The following is a 23225-nucleotide window of genomic DNA, read 5'->3' on the forward strand; positions in this document are numbered from 1 at the left end:
ATGGCAGGGAAAGAAGAGAATTTCGAGGCAGCCACTTTGGTCCCATACACACAGAAAGTGGGAGAGAGAGAGGGGGCCCAGGGTTTCTGCTGGAGTACCTGTTTTAGCTGCATCCCCTCATGGGACACCCGAGTCTTCCTCCTCTTCTTGGGTTGCATAGTATTGCCTTGGGTCCTCTTCATAAAGTTGCCCTTTTTCTTGAGTCACCTGCAAACAAAGGACCCCAAACTGAGGGACACACCTTTGTGTGGTCAGGTGCTTCCTGCCAGGCAGCCGCTCCTCAGGGAGTGCTGGTTTCATCGGTGATAAGTCCTGAGCAACACAACCTCGGGAAATCGAGCAACACTTCTGCCCTTGAGCTTTGGGGTCAAAAGAGTCGGGCTCAACTGTTTATTTTATCCCACCCTAAATGGTTGGTTTTCCTTGGGCAGGACTGGCAGCCCAGGACACCTCCACCCATCCCCTGCCTGGTGCTGGAGTCAGAGCCTGGGGCCCTTGGAGCATCCTGTGCATAATGGATGGTCAGGGATTCTACTGTGGCTTTCCTGGTCCTCTGTCCTGAAATCTCTCTGTCTAATCAGCAGGGCACACCAGGAAGCTGGAGGAGAAAACACTAATATTTTGAATGATGTAGGTTTTATTTTGGATCACTTTTTTCCTTTCACTTAGAAACTGATGGTGCCATTCCTAAAAAGTTTCCCCAAATTTTTACATCTCTGAAGAAGCCACTATTGATTTGGAAACCAGCAACACACTCACTCTGTTGAGATTGTCTGAAACCAGAGCCAGCCTTGAGCCCTTCAGAAATCCTTTCTCTCTGCATCCTCATTTATAGGCTAAGCCACAGCCCCAGCCCTTTAGCCAGGACCGAGACCCTGCTTATAAGGTCAGTATCATCTGCCTAGCACAGAGTTCAGGCCATGCTTTCCAGCACCCAGTCCCTGAGGCCAGAGGGCAGTCAGTGTTGCTCATCTGAAGCATCACTGGATTTACCCAACAAATATGGCCAGAGACTTACATAAAAGGATATTGTGATATTGTAAAGTATATCTTTCGTCTTCCTCCTGTTTCCCAGCATTCAACTCCTGAAATCCTTGGGTTCTCCAAAGAGATAAGTGTTTTTTTGTGTGCTGATGAGATGATGGGTGGCTGGGGGCCCCTAGGTAGGGGCTTCTGGTGTGGGGCTGGTCACAGGAAAGACCCTGGCAGGATTAGAGTGTTGGGACTTGCAACGCTGACCTCCTATCCCCCACCTCTGGGGCGGAGGGGGCTAAAAATTAAGCTGATCACCAATGACTAGTGATGTAATCAGTCATGCCTAAGTAATGCAGCCTCCATAAAAGCCCCAAAGGACAGAGTTAAGATGAGCTTGCAGAAAGCTGAACGCACCACTTGGAAGTTCCTGGAGGGCCATGTACCGAAGAGGAAATGGAAGCCCCTCACCCCTTCACCACACCTTGCGCTATTCATCTCTTCATCGGTTCTTTGGTAGTCATGTGTTATCCCTTTTAATAAACCAGTAAACATTAAGTAAGTGTTTCTCTGAGTTCTGTGAGTCACTCTAGCAAACTAATGGAACCCAAGGGGGCAGTTGTGGGAACCTTGACTTACAGCTGTGGTCCAAAGCACAGGCAAAATGATGGGGGGCTTGTGATGGCATCACAAGTGGGGAATAAGGGCTGCAATCTTGGAGACTGAGCCCTCAACCTGTGGGGCCTGAGGCCATCTCCAGGTGGAGAATGTCAGAATTGAATTGCTTTAGAAGACACCCAGCTGGTGGTTACGGCAGAACGGGTGGCTTTCTTGGCATGAAGGAAACCACAACCACCCCCGTGACACACACACACACATTTGGTCGCAGAAGTCTTCTGTGTTGTTTGTCAAGTGAGAGTATAGGAGAAACTGGTTTTTTTTCCTTATAAACTCAGAGATATGCACTATATGACATGGTTAGTCACCATGAAAAATTTCTAACAGCCAGAATGCTCTACAATCAGAGACCAGCTGGAAAAATTATGCCACAGACACATGACGGGACATGAAGCAATTAACAAATTCACTCTCGAAAAATATTTTGAGACTATGGGAAATTCTCATGAATCAAAAATAAAAAAACACAAGATAGAGAAACGTGTGAATAAAAGGTTGTCTTGACTTTGTGTTATGCACACACACAGGCTTCTGAGTGACCCAAAAGTGGGAGGGGGCACCACAAGGAGGCACACAGGGGTGCTGGGATTGCAGGAGATGTTAATTTTCTTCTGAATAATTTCCTGTATTTTCCAAAATTTCTATAAAAATACAAAGTTATTTGGTAATTAGAACAAACATCATATTTTTAAAAATATAAGAAATACTGGAAATATACTTCCAAAGGCTGTGCTTTCCAGAGATTTGGAATGTGCTTTTAGAGGCACCATGAAGAGCTCAGACAAAACGCCTTCTTTGGCCCAAAGGCACCAAAATCACTTTTAAAAATCCATGTGCATGAATAACAAATTTCAAAATCATGTGAAACCTGTGCTCAGTGGTCATTCTCCAAACACACGTCTTCCCTCCCTGCTATAGGTGGTTACCAACCCCAGGGGTCTCCTCCCCCAGGATGGTGCAGGGGTTGAGATCCAGGTGTCAACTCTGCAGCTCCCTGGGGAAGGTCTGTGCTGCCTCGTTCTTCCCGCCTGTCTTGTCAAGGGAAGAGGAAGATCACAGCGCAGGGACACACTCGCCATCACTGTGCACCCATAGAGTGTCCTCTTCCCAAAGGGCCCACCATAGGAGCCAGGGTCACCCCCCTTCTGCCCCCTCATCCTACTGCAATCCAGCTCGACCTTCAGGTTCAACCCAGGCCCTGGGGAACCATGTCTAGGTAGAGCACCTGGGAGGGATGCAAGGACATCAGGTGCATGCATCGTAGGCAGGTGGTGCACAGGGAGCTGGGGTAGGAGTGCCCCCATGTCTGAACACCCTCCAAAGGGCCATCTGAAGAGAAGAGTGCTGCAGGGGCACCGAGAGCTCACAGAGTGACGGACGGCACCATCGGCCCCCCATCAGCGGTGGGCACAGCTTCCAGCAGGCCAGGTGCATCCTAGGGCTACCCAGCATGGGATCTGGACACATCCCTGTTGAGGCTGCAGGGCGACCTTGGGGAATGGTCAGGTGTGTCACTTCATTCCCCCACTGCAGACAGCATTCGAGACTCAAAACAAAGGGAGCCACTTCTAAAATCTCTTGGTCTCAGAAGTTTAATTCCAGCCTGCCTTGACCTATCGTTTCATCGCACGTCCTCTAATTGAAATGTCCTTTCTGGAGCTCACATGTAGCTTTTTGTTCCTCGTCTTTGCTGGGTGGGGAGACGAGAACAGGGATCAGAGAGATCCCAAGCGCTCAACCACAGATAAGGGCTGCTTCTGCCATTTTCCTCCAACATGCAGTATTTCCTTGTTAGAGCAAACTGATGAAATATATGAGAAACCCAAGAAGGGAGTGGGCTTGGGGAAAACATTGTTAAAATGTAATATCGCCACAATTTAAAATGTTTCTATGAGTCTGATTTTCAAGACACATTTATTTCTTTTTTATTACAAGTTCTGGTACTTCTTAATGGAGCCACGGCCTCACACAAAATCGGGTTCTCCTTGGACTAATATCTTTGAAAATTAAGTTGATTTATAACCAATTTTCTCCTCATTTAAACAGCGACCCGCAAGGGTTCCTCTGGGGAACCCACAGGATCCGAGAACTGATGTGTTGCCGAGATTACCCAGTGATGCGGAATCTTTGCAAACATGTGCATATGGCGGTGGGTGCTTAAGGGAGCAAAATAATGTATTTCCTTGTTCTACATCCCTGCCTTAATTTTGGAGTTAGACATGCGCATTGCTGGGAATGAAGAAACGCTAATTGGATAATTACAAAAACTCCCATCTGATTTCCCACTTTCAAATCGGCTTATCTGCCTTGTCCTTAGCACACACACTCCACTGTGGGCAGTGGGCAGTGGGCAGAGGGCAGGGGTCAGGGGCCCTGGAACATGTGGCAAATCCACTTCCACCTCTGGCAAGCCTGAGACACAAGTCCACCCCTGCCCCCCCCGGCAAAGCTCGGGAATGACGGACGGCAGTCCCTTCTCTACAGTCGATGTTGAAGGTGGGGTGTGTTTAGAATGGTCCACCAGATGCTACCACAGATGTAAGGGAAACAGGATGGATCGGCCGGCACACCCATCTCTTCTGTTGAGAAAATGTTGTATTTCATTACTGCAGGCTTGCTGGTGGGGGGCTTTTCCTTAAACTGAATAATAATTGACCATACCAGCTTCCTAGGGTTGCATTTTTGTGCCAGCCACCAAGCCACCAGTTAGTCCTTGTCACTCCCAAAACCCTCACTGCGGCTCCACGAGGTCATTACTTCATTGCCCCCATGTTTATGGATGAGGACATTGAGGCTTGAGAGACCCACAGCCTGCTCTAAGCATCACCAGCTAAGTGGCACCCAGGGCTGCTTTTCAGCTTTCCTTTCCATGGCAGCATTTTTTTTAATGCTACATCCGACATAATCTGTATTTTATTATTTACTCTGTTCATTGTTTGTAAGTTCTGCTAGGGCAGGTGGATTTCTCTTGCTGTTCACTGGGTATCACAGTCCCTGGCAAAGAGCAGTGCTCAATAAATATTTGCTTGATGAATGCACGCAGACATGCTCTTAGCCATTCTATGCTACCTAATATGGATTATTCCAGGCTCCCTGAACTCTTCCCAAATCAAGAAACCACTTTCCAGAAGTATTTTAACACGAGCTGCCAAGCCTTGACTGTTGAAATGTTTTTGACAGTCAGCCTTGCCATCCTTAGATGTCCTGCTCTTTTCAGACCTTCCCAGACCTGTCATCGCCAGCGCCTTTCCTGAAGAGCCATCCTACACTGGGTCCCGGAACTGCAGCTCTGCAAACAATAGCACAGGCTCATGATCTCCCTCTGTCTCCATGGGGAAGTATCCCTCCCTGTACCAGAGCAGCCCTGGCCAAGTGGGGCTCAGCCCAAGAGCAGGCTGGAGCCAGACAGCTCGGCCCACAGATATTGATGAACAGTTTAAAAGGACAAGCCCATCAGCACTAATTCCTCCAGGGTCCTCTCCCCGGCTCCAGGTTGGTAATCAAAGGGAAAGTGCACTTTGGAAATAATTTTGTTTCTGTGCAGTTCAAATTCCGGAGACCTTGTTTTAAAGCTCATTTGAATAATAACAAGAGCAATTAAAAATTAATATGAATTGCTATTATTTATGGAGTGTGGGTTACCTGCCAAGGGCTTTTCCAAATGCTTCCCTTGCACTATTGCACTGTAGCCTAACAACCTTGTGAATTGGCTCCTGTTTATATTCTCCTTTTAAAGGGAAGAAAACTAGCACTTTGAGAGTTTAAGAAACTTGCATTTTTCTCCCCAAGAAGTGTGGTTAAGAAATGGCCAGTCCTGACCAGGCGCGGTGGCTAACGCCTGTAATCCCAGCTACTTGGGAGGCTGAGGCAGGAGAATCACTTGAACCCTGGAGGTAGAGGTTGCAGTGAGCTGAGATCGTGCCACTGCACTCCAGCCTGGGCAACAAGAGTGAGACTCTGTCTCAAAAAAAGAAAAAAAAAAGAGAAAAGAAAGAAGTGGCCAGTCCTGGATTCTCATAGTTCCCAAGTGCTGTGCTTCCCAGCAGAAACTTGGCACCCAGGCAGCCCTCAAGGGCATGTTTCTGCTTACACGGCTGTAGCTCAGTGATGCTGAGTCCTCTGGTCCAAACCTTGACCATAATTAGAATGCATGCTCTGATTAAAGGCCCAATATTTTTAAAAACAGAAGAGCAGCTAAGGAAAAGACCCAAAAGCTCAGGCTGAACCAAAGTTCTTCTTGGTGTGGCCAGAAGGCCCACACTCTACCCCCTGCAGGGCTGTCTGGATTCCGGGCCCCACCAGCTCACCTGCTCAGCACCTTGGGTCTAATCTTCTGATGCGTCCCTGCCCTTGGAGCCCCACAGGGAAATGACACAATCCCCTGTTTACTACGAGGCTGGGCTTCCTCATGGGCCCTGCCTCCAACTTCGAGACCCAGTTCCACCCCAGGTAGCTTTGGACAAATGATGGAGCCTCTCGGAGCCTCCAGTTTCCCTCTAACATCTCATGGATGATGATGTCAGCCCACAGGGCTGACGGGAGGATGGTCAGACAAAGCCTGGATTCGCCCTGCATGGTTCCTGGCACGAGGGCAAGCTTGAATGGAGGTAAAAATAAGATGGTCCCTTCCAGTCCCACCCACACTCACCAGGGCCAGTGTTCCTCCCCAGTGCTCTGTGAGCTGAGTGGTCTCTGCCTTCCTGGGCCCCCACCTGGATGTCCAGAGGCCATGGCTATGATGGTTAATACTGAGTGTCAACTTGATTAGACTGAAGGATGCAAAGTATTGTTCCTGGGTGTATGTCTGAGGGTGCTGCCAAAAGAGATTAACATTTGAGCCAGTGGGCTAAGAAAGCCAAACTCAACCTCAATCTGGGTGGGCACCATCTAATCAGCTGCCAGCAAGGCTAGGAAAAAGCAGGCAGAAGAACCTGGAAGGACTAGAGTGGCTGAGCCTTCTAGCCTCCATCTTTCTCCTGTGCTGGATGCTTCCTGCCCTCGAACATCAGACTCCAAGTCCTTCAGCTTTGGGACTCTTGGATCTTCCACCGCAGACTGAAGGCTGCCCTGTCGGCTTCCCTAGTTTTGAGGTTTTGGGACTCGGAATGGCTTTCTTGCTCCTCAGCTTGCAGATGGCCTAATGTGGGACCTCACCTTGTGATCGTGTGAGTTGATACTCCTTCATAAACTCCCCTTCATATATACATCTGTCCTGTGATTTCTGTCCCTCTAGAGAACTCTGACTAATACAGTGGGTATCACCCCTGTCTGGAAGAATAGCACGGCCCAGGCCCCTGCAGGTTCCACCCAGGCCCCTGCATGACTCAGCAAGCTGGTCTGGGGAGCTCCCTCCTTTGGGGCTGCCCCCCATGCCAGGGTCCACAGTAACATGCCTAAGTTCTCCCAGGGCTGGAAACAACCTCCGTGAGTCACGCCAGTGTTTGCAATCCTCAGCATGCTTGCTAGCAAATGTTTAACAACCAGCTCTCAAAAAAGCAAAAAAAAAAAAGTTTTTAAAAAGCCCCGATTTTTAGCATTTGCCAGTTTTCATAGTGTAAATCTTCCTGCCGTGGTCAACTTCAAGCCATCTATGTGACTTTACTGAATGTAACATTGGGAAGAGAGGTACAGCAGCAGACAGTGATGTAGTGTTTTACCATCCCCAGTAAAATCAATTCATAATCTTCACCACATAGATAGTAGCAAAATGTAGTCAAGTAATTAAAAAGTTATACATTTTTGAGTATTTATGACCTTTCTTTTTAATACGATTTGTTTACTTGTAATTTTATATCATTTAATGTTTACAATGTCTGTGTTCAACAACCAGTGAGCACAACCCCTGCAAATTTACCATTTGGCTCTCCTGAGCTTGGAGGAGAGGCTGCCGCACACCCTTGGCTCTGGCCGCCCAGGCTTTTCTTAGCTGAGCTTCCACACCCTGACTGTGGTCCAGTCCTCTCGCTTCCAGCCCATGCCTGCTTTCAGATGCAGTCTGTTCCCAGCTGCCCAGTGTTTGGACCTCCAGAGGCTCCATCCCAGGGCCTCCCTCCAGCTCCAACATCCTGACTCCTCAGCGCCCACGTCACCTCGCTCATCACCAGAACCACTTCATCTGTCTCATATCCTGTGAGGCAGACACAAAACAATGACACAGCGAAGAACCTGGGCTGGAAAGTCTGGCAGAGTCGGGGTGAATCCCAGCTCTGCCCTTTCCCGCAAGTGACCCACTTCCCCAGCATCTGCCTACACACCTGCAACAAGGGAGAGAGAAGAGTATCACCGAGGGCTGTTAAACAAACCAATTCACGCAAAGGGGCTTGGCCCAGTTCTCATCACCTAATAAGTGCCCCATAGAAGATGCCATTAATACTCACCTCCTGCCAGATTCCAGCCAATGCTGGGGACAAAGGCAAACTCCAGCACAAAACCCTTATTTCCTGCGGGCGGTACCTAACAGCCCCTGTGTTTCCATGAAGTTAGCAGCTGCAGCCCTTCTTCACCACAGGCTCCTTCTCCTCCAGCACCGCTGCCTCTCTCCTCAGAGCCACCAAGCCTCAGAACAAGGCTCTGACAACCTGCAGAGAAGGACTTTTCTTGGTTTGCATTGTCTTTGAGCTTTGACTTTTTAACAGAATGGGGGTCATTTTGAGTCAATGTTTTGACATTCCTCTGGAGTTTATTTCCTAGCTCTAATGGTCATATTTGGTAGAGGAAGAACTCTTAAAACTCAATGGTAAGAAAATAATCCAATTTTTAAAATGGGCCAAAGATCTTAAGAGACACATCACCAAAGAGGACAAACATGTGGATGTCAAACGGCACATGAAAAGATGCTCCACATCCTACGTCATCAGGGAAATGCCAATTACAACAACGAGATGCCACCACACAGCTGCTAGAATGGCCAAAGTCCAGAACACGGATGACACCAAATGCTGGCAAGGATGTGGAGCAACAGAACCCTCACTCATCGCTGCTGAGAACGCAACATGCGACAGCCACTTGGAAGACAGTATGTTGGTATTTTGTAAAACTAAACATACTCTTACCATACGATCCAGCAATCGCCCTCCTTGGCATTTACCCAAGTGAAGTTTGAAAACGTATGTCCACATAAAAACCTGCACACAGATGCTTATAGCGGCTTTATGCATAGTTGCAAAAACTTGGGAGCAACTAAGATGTCCTTCAGCAGGTGAGTGGATAAACAAGCAATGGAATATCCAGACAATAGAATACTACTCAGGGCTAAAAATAAACGAGCTGTCAAACCAGGAAAAGACATGAAGGAAACCTACATGCACATTCCGACGTGAAGGAAGCCACGCTGAAAAGGCTATACACCCTAGAGTTCCAACTACATGACATTCCGCGAAAGACAAATCTACACAGACGATCTAAAGATCAGTGGTTGCCAGAGGTCAGCAGGAGGGAGGCATGAATCGGCAGAATACAGAGGGCTTTTAGGGTAGTGAAACTGCTCTTTATGATACTATAATGGGAGATACATGTCATTATACATTTGTCCAAACCCGTGGAACTTACAACACTAAGTGAGCCCTAATATAAACTGCAGACTTTGGGTGATTACAGTGTGTCTGCATAGGTTCATTGCTTGTTAACAAGTATACCATCTGGTGGGGGATGTTGATAACAGGGGAGGCTGTGCGTATGTGGGGGCTGGGACTATGTAGGAAATCTTTGCACCTTCTGCTCAATGTTGCTGGAAACCTAAAACAACTCTAAAAAAATTAATTCTTCAAGATGACTAGGAGCAAATTCCAAATGCCTCACCACAAAGAATGGTAAGTAAGTGAGGAGACGAATATGTTAATTAGCTTGACTTAACCCGTCCACATTGTATACATCCATCAAAACATCACTTTGTACCCCATAAATGTTCATTAAAAATAACATTAATAAAAAATAAAGTCTTAAGCAAACAAATTATCTCTATGCACACAAGAAACCAGGACCTCAGCACCCAACACTCCACCTGTTTCAGTTTTGCTTAGTTTTGTAATTCACTGTACTTAGTCTTTATTTTGATTTCACCTATTTGCTGTCTGATATGGTTTGGCTGTGACCCCAGCCAAATCTCCTCTTGAATTGTCATGCCCATAATCCCCACATGTCTAGGGAGGGGCCCAGTGGGAGGTGACTGGATCATGGGGGCGGTTCCCCCATGCAGTTCTCATGATAGTGAGTGAGTCTCAAGAGATCTGATGGTTTCGTAAGTGTCTGGCGTGTCCCCTGCTCGCACTTCTCTCTCCTGCCACCTTGTGGAGAAGGTCCTTGCTTCCCCTTCACCTTCCACCCTGATCGTCAGTTTCCTGAGGCTTCCTCAGCCCTGTGGAACTGTGAGTCAATTAAACCTCTTTCTTTATGAATGACCCAGCCTCAGGGGTTCCTTTATAGAATGAGCCCTTCTGCAACCACCCAGCAGGAGGCATTAGACGGCCCCAGAAATGAGCAGTAACACACTTTCCCACCATTTCCCCAATCGCTTGACAGCAAGATTCAGACCATCACCCGGGAGAACTTAGAACAGCCACCCCCACAGCAAAAGCTACACCTTCCAGAGGAAGAGCATGAAGTGGCTTCTGTTGAGAAAGGCCATGGCTCCCTGACCTGGCCACCTTCCCCGAGTTACAGCACAGGCTCACGGTCTCACCCTGAGTGACAGCCCTGGGTGATTCCAAACAGGCCTGACGCTCTCCAGGACCCTGACACGGATCTGAACTACACAGAGCTATGGTGATCCGGCCGGCTCAGGGGCTAACCAAAGTGATTCCAGGCAGAGCAGCCGGCACTTGCTACCTGGGGTGATAATGCGCACCTTGGAGAATGTCCTTAATGAAAATGTTTAGAAATCAGATCCAGCCAGAGGACCCCCCAGAAAGCACTTTCCTCCAGGACAGCATGACCCCTGTCCTGGGCTGCGGAAGGAAAAGCAGGGGGTTGAAAGGGCTCAGGCGGGAAGCCTGGCTTCACCTGAGGAGGGGCCACATCCTGCCAAGGACAAACTTTGCCTTGTGTACCTTATTTAATTTTGATCCGGATACAATCAGAATGATACAACACGGCCAAAAGTCTGGTTCTCCTTGGAGATGTTGATCTCATTAGCAGGACACCATCACTCACTCAGCAAATATTTACTGAGCAGCTACTATGTGCCCAGCAGATGCTCACTGAAGAGGCAGCCGTGCCACAAGCAGAGTGAACCTCTGGCTTTATTGCACATCCATGCCCTAGGAAAGAGACAACCCAAGCAAAGCTGCACAGCCTGTCGCACGGGGAAATGTGCAACAAGGAATAATAAAGCCAGGCTGGGGATAAAGTGTGATGCTCTGAGACTCACGTGGTCACTTTTTGTGTGGCTTAGCTTCCAGTGCCCGGCCCTGTTGCCCACAGCTGGACCTCCGCCCCGCAGTGAGTAGTTTTGCTTTGTGTTTGGAAGAGGGAGCAGAGGGCAGGGTTGAAGAGCACTGTGGGCGCTCCATCAAGCGAGAGCAGGTCCGTGCCTGTGCTCTACACGCTGACCATTTGAGTCTCCGGCCACTGCTGTCACAAGCCACCACAAAGGGAGTGACTTACAACAATGCAAATTTATTCTCTTACATGCTCTGGATGTCACATGTCCAAAATCAAGGTGTGGGCAGAGCTGTGTTACATCGGAGGCTCTGCAGGAGAATCCGTTTCCTGCCTTTTCCAGAGTCTAGCGGCCGCCTGCACTCCTTGGTTCCTGGCCTCTTCCTCCATCTTCAAAGTCAGCATCTTCCAATCTCTCCCTGACTCTGACCTTCCTGCCCCATCTCATAAGAACCCTATGAGGACACTGGGACCACCTAAATGATCCAGGATGATGTCCCATCTCAAGATCCTTAATCCCACCTGCAGAGTTCCTGTTGCCAAGTAAGGTGACATCGTCATGGGTTTCAGGGATGAGGATGTGAACATCCTTGGGAGATATTTTTTCAGCTGACTACACTGACGCTGACCCCAGAGAACCCTCTGTCTAATTAATTGAAATTCCACATCTGGAAATATCATCATGTGTACACACTTATGCTCCCTTTGTGGCAGGGACAAACACATTATTATTTAGGGAATTTATTGTTTTCCTTGCCAAAAGGTGTTTTGTTTTGTTTTTTAAGTAATCATTTAGGAGTTGTACATTTTAGCAACAAGGAGAATGAAAATGGTTGAAACGGTTAAACTTGCTCGTTTTTTTTTTTAGTTGTTGGAGAATTCTTTGGGGTTTTGAACTTTCTAGAGTTTTCTCTCGGGAAGATTTCTGAAATAGAAACTCCTGTTCGTAAAATTACTTGGACCGAGGGCCACCTTGGTGGATCTGGGGGAGGATGGACTTGAGCTTGTCTTTGTGTGTCTCACTGTAAAGCGGCTTGATCTTAGAGTACACCGTCCCAGTGAGAGCCTCAGTAATCAGAGAGGGAACACTGTGAAACCCACCTTGTTTACACCGTCACCATGATGACGGCCTACATGATGGCTGCTTTGACTCTGGGGAGATGCGAAACATCTTCACAAAGCATCATTAACCTCCGCGCAATTGGGTGAGCTGCCAGGAGGGAGAAGCCAGCAGGCAGGAGTTAGAGGGATGAGGAGTAGGAAAAAAGGCATGCAGGGGAGGGGACGACGTGCTTGGGCACAAATGGAGTCAGTACCTGATCCCTGGAAAGGGGACAGGAGAGGAACAGAGCAGCCACCCTGCACGTCCCTCCAGCCCAGGAGTCCCAAGTGACAAGTGGTGAAGGAAAAACACACAGAAGCATCAGGGACTGGAGTCCTGCCCTCTCGTGCCAGCCCTGACTGAGGCGGGAGTGGCAGCACTGGCCAGGGTGGGCCCTGCCCTCCCGCCTGGATGCAGAGTGGAGCCTCCAGACCACACTTGACAAGGACCTCAGGATGGCCTCGGGGCAGGGCGGCAGGGCTGGAGGAGACAGTGGATCACATCAAGGCCACAGGCAGGGGGAAGCTGAGGCTCAGCCCTCCCTGGCTCCAGGGCAGAGGGTAGAGAACCTGCTGGACTCTGGGCCTTGTTTCTCCCACCAGCCAGTCCCGCAGAGGCTGCCCTGACCTCACCAACAGAAAACACCAGGCCAGGACCTTGCATTCTCATCTGCTCTGTGCCTTGCTTCACTTGTGAGGGGGGCGCAGCTCCAGATGGGGGTTCCATGGGCACAGTGTGGAGAAGGGCACTCAGGGCCTGCTGAGCCTCCAGAAATGCACTGAGCTCAACTGGGGGCCCTCGTGGCCCAGGAGCCTCTGGCCTTCTAGGCTCCAGCCACCCATGCTGTGCCGGGCTCCACGGAAGGCATCTCCCAGGCAGGAGAGTGGCGGTTCGCAGCAGGAGCTTAGAGGCAGGGCTGGCTCGGCCACGGAGGTTCTGAATGTAAGGCAGCCCAAGGAGACCGCCCAAAGGAAGGGGACACTGGGGGAGGCAGTGACAATACCTGCCAAGATCCTTGGCCACACACCCATCCCTGCAGAGCACTTTACATGGACGCTTTCCTCTCCGGGACTGCTGCAACAAAGGCCCACAGACTGGAGCATAAACAGCAGGGCTGCATCGTCTCACAGTTCTGGGGACCAGGGGTCTGAAGCCAAGGTGTCTGCAGGGCCGGTTCCTCCTGCGCTGTGAGGGAGGCTCCGCTCCAGGCCTCTCTCCAGCTTCCAGTAGTTGCTGGCAATCTTTGCTCTTCCTTGGCTTGAGGAAGCCTCACCCTGATCCCCACCTTCATCTTCACATGGCGTTTTCCTGTGTGTGTTCCCCTTAATACAAGCGAGTTTCCCCTTGTATTAAGGACACTGGTCATATTGGATTGGGGCCCACCCTAGTGACCTCGTTTTAACTTGGTAAAGGCCCTGTCTCCAAATAAGGTCACATTCTGAGATGCTGGAGGTTAGGACTTCAACATACAAATTTTAGGAGAGCACAATTCAACTCCTAACAATAGAACCCCTCCTGTAATTTTCAAAACAGAAAATATTATTTTCCCCAATTTATAGATATGGAAATTGAGGATTTAAAAAGATTCAATAATGTGCTCAGGGCTATGTACCCAGTTAATAGTGGAGCCAGGACTGAGATCCCAGTGAGGCCCAAGCCTAACTCTGCTAAAATATGCCCTAAACTGTAGCTTAACATCAAAACACCCTGAGTTATAATCAACCTACATTTCCAAAAAATAGCTGGCGATCCCCATCTTTGGCAAGATGGCACCTCATCCGCCAGGAAGGGCTCTGGTGGGGAGTCCCAGAGGTCTGCCAGGTAATGAGAAATAGAAGGGGATTAACCTGGATTTCTGAGAACCCCGAATGGAAGCGGCACAGAGGCTGCAAGTCCAGGTTTTAAGACTCAGAGGATGTTTGAAAACGAAGACTCTGCATATCGAGGTCCCTGGGGAAAAGGGGGGGAGATGCAAATGTGTCTCTGAGTGTACTCCAGCAACAGAAAGGGATTAATTGGGATATTTTTGGTTGCAAGAAATAGAAGACAACTTGAGCTAGTGTAAGCCAGGAGAAGGAGGGTTCATACAAAGGACCCCGCATCTCATGAGGCCCAGGTCAGAGGCGCAGGCCCAGGAAAGGGGTGGCGGGCAGAAAGAGGCAACACCACCAGCCTCTCTTAGCTTCCAAGCCACGCTTGGCCCCTCTGTGGCTGTCTCTGCTGCCCATTCCAATGGCGGTACGCACCATGGCCCCTGGTCCCTCAGTCGGCGTCCTGTTGTGCTGGAGAGACACTTATACAAGAATCCCTCAGAGCCAGGTCCAAATTCCCAGGACACAGAATCTGTCCCAACTTGGATCGTGTGTTCACACCATGGTCCAACCAGCTGTGGCCAGGTGTGAGATCAGGTGGTGGGAATATGGCAAATGGGCCCCACCAGGGGGAGGGGAAGGAGAAGGGTGACCAGGTATGCTGAGCCAAGACCCCAAGAAGCCCCTTCCCCGAGGGTTAAGACAGGAAAATCTAGGCTTGGTTTTCATATTCAAGGAGGCTGAGTACAGAACAAGGGAACCATGACAAGAAATTGGAGACCCACTCTTTGTTTAAAAACAAATTGGGGGGTTGGGGAGAAGGAGCTTTGTTCTCCACAAATCAAACATTTCAAACCCTGCAGGATCCGGCACTGCTAGAATCTTCTCCAAGCCGGGCCGCCTGCTTCTCTACCGGTCTCTTAGCAACTAAATACCTGACTAATACTCAACTTTTCCCAGGGCTTTAAGAGCTGCAAGATATTAATTCCAAGCAAGACATCTAAATTGTTACTCTGGAAACTTGCTCATGCCCCCTTCATGGGTCAGACACTGAAAGGCCACGTTCCAAGTATCCTTACCATCTCACCCTCGCCGTCCCTAGAAGCAGGATTGAAGTCCCGTCTCCACACGGCCACGGCAGGAGGGGCGGCCTGGGCTCAGATGAGTGGCTCCAGATTGGACACACACAGAGCTTGCTTTGCCATGGGTATGTTTACGTGTCAGTTCCCACCCATGCACTCAGGAAAAGCGGGCCCCTCTTTCCAACCCTGAGGGAAATCATAGAAAGAAATAATAAAATAGGAAAACAAAATTGCTGATCGATGAAAACCACAAGATGTTTTTGTTTCTTAAAGACAAATCAACACAACATAGCAGGTATGACCAAGGGAAAAAAAAAATAAGCATTGAGAACAAAAAGTAGGACATATGAAAATAAAAGGACTCAATTTACAAGCTGGAGGCCGAGCGCAGTGGCTCAGGTCTACGTCATCCCAGCACTTTGAGAGGCCGAGTAGAGTGGACCACTTGAGGTCAGGAGTTTGAGGCCAGCCCGGCCAACATGGTGAAACCCCATCTCTACTAAAAATAAATAAATAAATTAATTAATTAATTAATTAATTAATAAAATAAAGAACGAACGAACTCAGGGCCTTGGCTGTGAAACCCCGGCAGCAGGTGAACAAATTATCCCAGGGCTTTTGGGCAGCAATTTGCCTCTTAGTGTCCAGGGAGTGTCAGGGATGAGCCACCACCCTATGCAGGGTGTGTCCCATGAGCACGAAGCTGCCAGGGGAGGCCCAAGGATCCCAGATGTTGGTCAACACTGACTGCTGTCCCTTCGCTCTCTCTGTGTTGATTTTACCTGCAATGTCTGTGCTCTGGGCAGGACCTGGAGGGTGGGGGGCTCCTAAGGATGAATGCGCTTCTAGCTTGGGAGAAGCTTCAGGGAGCGTTGGGGACACAGAGCCTCCCCAAGTCTACCCGTGGTGGGTAAGAGCCTGACGCCCACCTGTGGAGCACTCTGGGCAAGAGACTTCCTCATCTGAAACGGCACTGTTCTACAATGGGGGTAAAAAGAGCGCCTATTTCTGATGGCTCCTGGGAAGGGCAGCACACCTTAGCTGTTCTGTTCTGTTATCCTGGCAACCTGCGCTTGCTGAGGCTGTCACTGTGTCACCTACAGATGAGGCCATCGAGGCCAGGCCAGGTGAGTGTTGGCCCACAGTTGCAGGAGCAGAGCACGTGCCAGCCCTCACGGGAAGCCACACCTGGATCCGTGGTCTGTGCCGTCTCCCTAAAAGCACGTGGAGCGATGCACCTTTCAAAGTGGCCCCGTGCTGAGTACAATAAAGCCGCTTAATTTGCCATTCTATCAACTGGAAATCCTTATTAACTAGCGATCATACCATACAGTGATAATTGATATTCATAAGGAACTTAATTGAAATTAAGTTTTAAAATAGCTTTAGTGTTAAGTGCATTTTATTCTAATTCCTGGAAAATTGGTCATCCATGTATAGTAGATGAGGTAACAAGGAAACATGCTGAATAAAACCACTCAGCCCCGACTTTCCCAGATGTCTGGGTTTCCTATGAAAGAAGAGGGGCTTAGCGGAGTCCAGTGGGTGCTCACCATACTGATGCCAAAGACCACCCCGAGGTGCCCATGAGGCTGCGTCTTCTCTCCCCACCTGGCCCTGCGTATGGATGCCCCTGAGTGTCATCACCCCAGCACCACCCCCACCCAGTCTAGGAATCTCTACTGGGTTGAACAGTGGCCTCCCAAAAGATATGTTCAAGTTCCAGCCCCAGAACTTGTGCATGGGTCCTTATTTGGAAATCAGCCTTTGCAGATGTGATGAAGTCAAGAGTCTCAAGATGAGATCATCCTGGATTTAGGGTGTGTCCTGAATCCAGTAACTTGTCAGGAATGAGATGAGAGGCTGTGAGAAACACACAGAGCAGGGGCTATGTGGCCACGCGGACAGAGGCTGCAGTGATGCTGCCAGGAGCCCAGGAGCTGCCCAAGCTGCCGGAAGAAGGGGGAGGCAGGAAGGACCCGCCCTAGAGCCTACGGAGGGAGCGGGCCCTGCCCACACCTTGACCTCAGGTGTCTGGCCTCCAGAACTGGGAGAGATTCCATTTCTGTTTTTGTTTGTTTGTTTTGTTTTGTTTTGTTTTGTTTTGTTTTTTCGAGACGGAGTCTCGCTCTGTCACCCAGGCTGGAGTGCAGTGGCACGATCTCGGCTCATTGCAAGCTGCGCCTCCCAGGTTCACGCCATTCTCCTGCCTCAGCCTCCTGAGTAGCTGGGACTATAGGCACCCACCACCACACCCGGCTAATTTTTTGTATTTTTAGCAGAGACAGGGTTTCACTGTGTTAGCCAGGATGGTCTCAATCTCCTGACCTCGTGATCCGCCCATCTCAGCCTCCCAAAGTGCTGGGATTACAGGCGTGAGCCGCTGTGCCCAGCCCATTTATGTTGTTTTAAGCCACCCAGACTGTCCTATGATTAAGGCAGCCACAGAAAAATAACACAGGTCCTAATTCCTAATCTTCCTTGTTTGATTCTGCATATTGAAGGTGGGCAACGTGAAGCTTTACATAAATATCTATAGTGCAATGGTTATTGCCATCAAGCCAATTAGTATCTACACCACTTTCCATAGTTACCATGCGTGTGTGTGTGTGTGTGTGTGTGTGTGTGTGTGTGTGTGTGTGTAGTAAGGGCCCCTAAAATCTACTCTCAGCAAAATTTCCATATACAATGTAATATTATTAGACCTCATGCTATACATTACACCTCCAGGATTTATTCATCTTCTTTAACTGCACTGGGCCTAGGTCTGGGCACATGGAGTAGGTGAGGCAGGGTGAATGAGACCCCAAGGGTCTGTCCTGGAGCTTGTGATGGGGATGGGCCATAAACAGCCCCGAGTGCAGGAGGATGGGGGGGGACGTGTGTGAGTCCTCTCGGTCATAGCAGCTGGTCTCGTTGGCAGTGCCCAGCTCTGTACGCCTTGCTTCTAAAGGTGACTGCCTGCAGGTGCTGTGGCTGCAATGAGGCAGACGGCAGAGGGCCAGGGTGTTTGATGGCAGAGATGGAAGAGGGAGAGTGTGGGGCAGAGCTCATTCCATCTTCAAACATGCTGTGGGGGTTGAACTCAGCCTGCACTTCCCTACACATGAGCACAGCCAGGGATCACAGATGCCCAGCGACCCACGGGCGTCCCACTGCCTGGACCTCACAGAGCCAGTGCCCACCACAATCCCGCTCTGCAGGCGGGAATCCACATCTGATTCTGCCCTTTCTTCAGACCCTGATAATGCCATGAGAATGGAGGAATTAAGATGTGGCTGTCAGTGACGAGCTGTGAGTTCTAAAAAGTCCTCATGAAAACGAGGCCAAGTTTTATCCATCGCAAAATCCCCACCCAAGAACTCAGCCCACAAGAACAATCGTCCACAGCCTTCCAAGTTAACAGAAAAGAGCGGCAGAGGTCCTTAGACATGTGCAAAGGGAAAGCAGCCCCAGATACGCGCCCCCCACCACACTTCCGTCTCTCAGCCGCAAGTCCCCTGCACCCAGCAGCCCAGCCCTGCCAGATAAACACTGCCTCATCGAGGACGGTACAGGCAGATCCCAAACCCAGTCATTCTAATTATCTCTGAAGCACATGCTGAAGACTGATTTGCATATTGAAAATATGGCAGGGCAGGAAGGGAGCGAGCTGGCATTTCTCAACTCTGCCAGTGTTGTCTTCCGACGGCGTCATAAGACACTCTTCTAATGAAGTAATAAAAACAGTGTGAAATTTCAAACCACCCCAGGACATCTTTAAATGACAGCATCTCCTTTCCTGCGGTGATGAGAAAAGGAATGGCTTAGAAGTTACAGACCACACAGTGCTTCCCGGGGACCCCTGCCACAGCCGAAATAAGCTATCTAAATACCTGCATGGACTTCTCACTGTTCATCACTCAGTCTCCACCCCTGAAGCACCCACCCTCCTATGGTAGTTTCCCATGCTAACTACCTACCTGGCTAGCTCCCACTCATCCTCATTTCCCAGGCAAACACGCAGGTGACTGGTATAAAGTCTGCTGTGTGTGCTCATTCCATCTTCAAAAAAAGTGTTTAATTTGTTAGCACTTAAAGTATGCATAACTGTAAAGACAGCCAGGTGCTCCAGGGAAACTTTGCTTTAAACAAAGACGCATCTTACAGTGAATGTTCTGTGGACCGTATCTACGTGTGTATCAAACACACCACATGGCACTTTGTAGGAAGCTACTGCATCTCTGCGGAACAGTGTGGGAAATCAGCTCACAAGACCTTTGGAACCCAATGCTGTCACCCGTAGAAGAAGAGAAAGGTTCCTAGAATTGGCCTTGGGCAGGAGCTTTTCCCAACTCAGTGTCCTGATGCCTCTCCCAGGAAGCCTGTGTTGGCCCTGAGCTGCCAGCCCCTGAGCCCCAGAATCCTCACCCGCTCCCCGCGCACCTACCCTCAGCTCCAGCCTCTCGGAGGAACAGACAAGGAACAGATGGGCCAGCATGCAGTTAGCAGCTGAGAAACCAGTTCATGCTGGGGAGGTACAGGCTTTGGGATGGTCCCTCCCTAGTCTTGTCTTAAGATAAAATGTCAATACTTTGTTTGTCCTGACCTTCCTACCTAGTCTCGCCCCCGTCTGGTTTATAACCTCCTTCATACACTCCCCTCCTTGCCCACAGTGGATTCTTCAGCCCCGGTACCCTACAGAACTGTTCCTGCATTTTGCAGGGCCCCAGAGACCCACTGAGCTCTCGGCACTCACAGCTGCCCTCCTGGGAGTCACCCTGTATTTCTTGACCCTACTTTATTCCTTATTTCTTTGTTTTTCACAGCACCTGTCTGACAAGACCTCATTTTTGGCTAACATGTGAATTGCCCCTCCAGTCCACTCAGCAACCACTACCATGGTGGTCCACGCAGGGAGTGGCCATGACCGCCATGAGAGCCCCCAACCCTCCACCTTGCACAGTGCTGAATGTGCAGAGAAGCTCCCCAAATCTATGCTGGGTGAACAAATGAACGTCTTGACCCTGTGGAAACCCAGAGTGGGAGAAAGAGGTGGTGCCCTTGGGAAGCGTCCACGACTTAGACCTTCTTAGGTACATGGCAGCAGGCAGAGGCCACTCTCAATGTCATGCATGAGAACGGCCCCCTGGCCTCACAGAAGGATGATAGACTCCGAGCAAAAGGCACTTTATATCCCATCAAGACACAGATGGCATTCGGGTGGACTTGGGCTCTCTTAAACTGAGGCAGACAGAGCACCTGTCTGTTGGGAATGGTGATTGAGTCAAGGGACAAAAGCATTGTCAGAGACCCAGAAACAATCGAGAATTAAAGCAGGAGGCTGGGTCTAAAATGCAATTCAGTGTCACAACACAGGCTGGGCTGAACACTGCCTCTGTTCTGGGCACTGGTTTATCACCTCCTTCATACTCACCCCTCCTTGCCCACAAGTGGATTCCTCAGCCCTCGCACCCCGCAGAACTATTCCAGCATTTTTCAGGGCCAGGATCTTCTCAACTGTGCCAAGGTAAAGAAGTCGCTGCCCTGCCCTGCAGTTCACCTTCTGACCATGAAGGCAGATGTGTGCCCCCAAAGCTGAGGCCTTCTTGCACTGAGGCATTGAGCCACGTTCAGGCTGTGGGCTGCCCGCTGCTGTAGACAAGAAGGCTGAGCCACCTCTGACCTCATGGAGCTCCAACATTCATCAGCTGATGCCCCAAATAATAAATAATGTCTAATTACAACTTGTGATAAGCACTGTGAAAGAAACATGAAGGGTGGCTTGAGAGCTTGGCCTACGTATGGGCCTGGCGATCTAACAGGAAGAGCCAACCCATCTAGAATGTGACGCTTGAGCTGGGAAGGGGTGGCCAAGTGTTTGGCAATGAGGAGGAGTCAGAGACAGGAAAGGCTACATCCCATGAAGGGGGCGTGGCAGGTCTGCAGAATGGCAGGTGGGACTGGAATGCTGAGTACCAGGGCATGTTGGGGGAGACGCACACGGCTGGGATGGGGGCTAGCAGATGCCATGCCACCTGGACTTTCTGACAGTGTTAAGGCTGCTGGTCTTTATCTCCAGGGTGGCGGGAATATCCGCACATCTAACCCTACACCTTCTTTATCAGTTTTGGCTCTAATGTCCCCTTCTCTGTGATGTCTTTTTTTAAATACAAGGGCTTGCTCTGTCACCCAGGCTGGAGTGCAGTGACGTTATCAGACGTCACTGCAGCCTCAACCTTCTGGACTCAATCGATCCTCCCACTTCAGCCTCCCGAGTAGCAGTGACTACAGGTGTAAGCCACAACCCGCAGCTAGTGCCGCCTTTTTGATGAACATTCCTTAAAATTAAGACCCAGCCCGGCCCTCCCTGCCTCCCTTCTCACACTTTATTGTTTTCCACAGCACTCTGCCATTTACATACAATGTAATTTACCTCTTTTTATAATTGTTTTATCTCAACAGTTTTTGGGGTACAGGTGGATTTTTGGTTACTTGGATAAGTTCTTTAGTGGTGATTTCTAAGATTTTAGTGCACCTGTCACCTGAGCAGTGTACACTGTACCCAATGTCTAGTCTTTTATCCCTCAGCCCCCTCCCTCCCTTTCCCTGAGTCCCCAAAGTCCATTGTGTCGTTCTTATGCCTCTGCATCCTCATAGCTTTAGCTCCCACTTATAAGTGAGAATATGTGATATTTGGTTTTCCATTCCTGAGTTACTTAGAATAATGGTCTCCAGCTCCATCCGAGTTGCTGCAAAAGACACTATTTCATTCCTTTTTATGGCTAAGTAGTATTCCCTGGTGTATATAGGCCACAATTTGCCTCTTCGTTTACTCCCTGTCTCCTTCCACTAGAACATACGCTGCAGGAGGACAGGACATGGTCTTTTCTTGGCTGGATTTCTTCCCTACTGTCTCTTCAGTGCCCTTGAGGGTGTTGCCTCTGGTGGCTCCTAGTTTTCTCCTCCACATTGAAAAGGCACACGAATTGCAGAAAATCAAGAGGGTTTGAAGGTCACTGGGGCAAAGGGGAAAGGTCGGTCCCTGCAGGAATCTTAGAAACACTACCAGACATTGTTGAGGGCCCAGTGTGCTGGGAAGCCAGGAATTTCTAGTGACACTGATCCGCACGAGGGGCGGGGGGTTCTTCAGAAATTCTCAGCAGTGTGGCTGTGGAGAATGCCCACAGCTCAGCTGGCCCACGCAAGTTCCACACTGACACAGGGCAAGGGAGGAAGCCAACCAGGGAGGCCGTGCCGAGGAAGAAAAGCACAAAAGTATTGCTAAAAATGTACAGGAGAAAAGAGAGGATGAGAAGGATCAGGATGTGAGGCAGAATATGCTTAGCTGCCAACAGCGCATGGCAGTATCCCCTGGTGAGCTGGAGAAGATGGGACTCAGTCCTCCTGCTAGGCAGCTGAGACCTGCATGGACCACCTTTTCTGAGACCCAGCATCCGTGTGGTCTGGTCCATTGCTCCGGGAGCAAGACTGCAGGCTCCCCAGCCCTCCCATAGGTGTGCACTGACCTTGGAAGCCAAGGTGATCAGAAAGCTGCTCTATTCTCCAGACCATACAACAGCCCTGCGGTACACCCAGAGCCTTCCTTATTTTAAAGACAGGGTGTCGTGATTTCTCCATTGATGGATGGCGGGCTTGGGATGCCCTATGAAAGGCACATGTGTGGCATGGAAAATTCACAGCAATCTTGGTAGTGAAGCAGGAAGGCCTCAGATGGAATTGCTGAGAGCCCAGCCGAGGGAAGGAATGCATGGACATTGGTTGAGTTCTCATTATGTGCTGGCCTTTTTACACTCTCCCATTTGATTTTTAGGATAATCTAGTGAAATATGCATGTGCTTCCAATTGTGTAACATTTACGAGGAAAAACACATTGGGGGGGGGGACGTTTACATGCATAATAGGCACCACGCCTGAAACTCAAAGTACGCAAGATGTTTTTATTCTTTCAAGACACTTGGGAATATCCTCAGAGGCTGTTAAAACCAGTCCCTGCACCTGAAATTGCTAGGCACTTTATTAAGTTAACCGAAACACATTTTAGAACATAGGTAATTCACCCAACTGATAAACTTGCAAATTGATTTCAGTGAATTGAATTATGTTCGATTTCAGGGATTTGGTCCTGTAGCAAAGCGTTTATTTTGTGAACTGATTGACCACAGATTAGTTTTGCCAACCCATCTGTTTGGATCCAAAGTTTAT

General features: G+C 49.5%; 2 annotated features.

Annotated features, from left to right (window-relative positions):
- Nucleotides 2932–3431: an enhancer, noted in NCBI's record as "H3K4me1 hESC enhancer chr20:59688891-59689390 (GRCh37/hg19 assembly coordinates)". NCBI's record gives its function as "activates a minimal SCP1, AML or CMV promoter by ChIP-STARR-seq in naive H9 embryonic stem cells {active_cell/tissue: H9 hESC(naive)}" and the evidence as "EXISTENCE:reporter gene assay evidence [ECO:0000049][PMID:30033119]".
- Nucleotides 12242–12887: an enhancer, noted in NCBI's record as "NANOG-H3K4me1 hESC enhancer chr20:59698201-59698846 (GRCh37/hg19 assembly coordinates)". NCBI's record gives its function as "activates a minimal SCP1, AML or CMV promoter by ChIP-STARR-seq in naive H9 embryonic stem cells {active_cell/tissue: H9 hESC(naive)}" and the evidence as "EXISTENCE:reporter gene assay evidence [ECO:0000049][PMID:30033119]".

Source organism: Homo sapiens, chromosome 20 (genome assembly GCF_000001405.40).
Source record: "Homo sapiens chromosome 20, GRCh38.p14 Primary Assembly".
Taxonomy (NCBI): domain Eukaryota; kingdom Metazoa; phylum Chordata; class Mammalia; order Primates; family Hominidae; genus Homo; species Homo sapiens.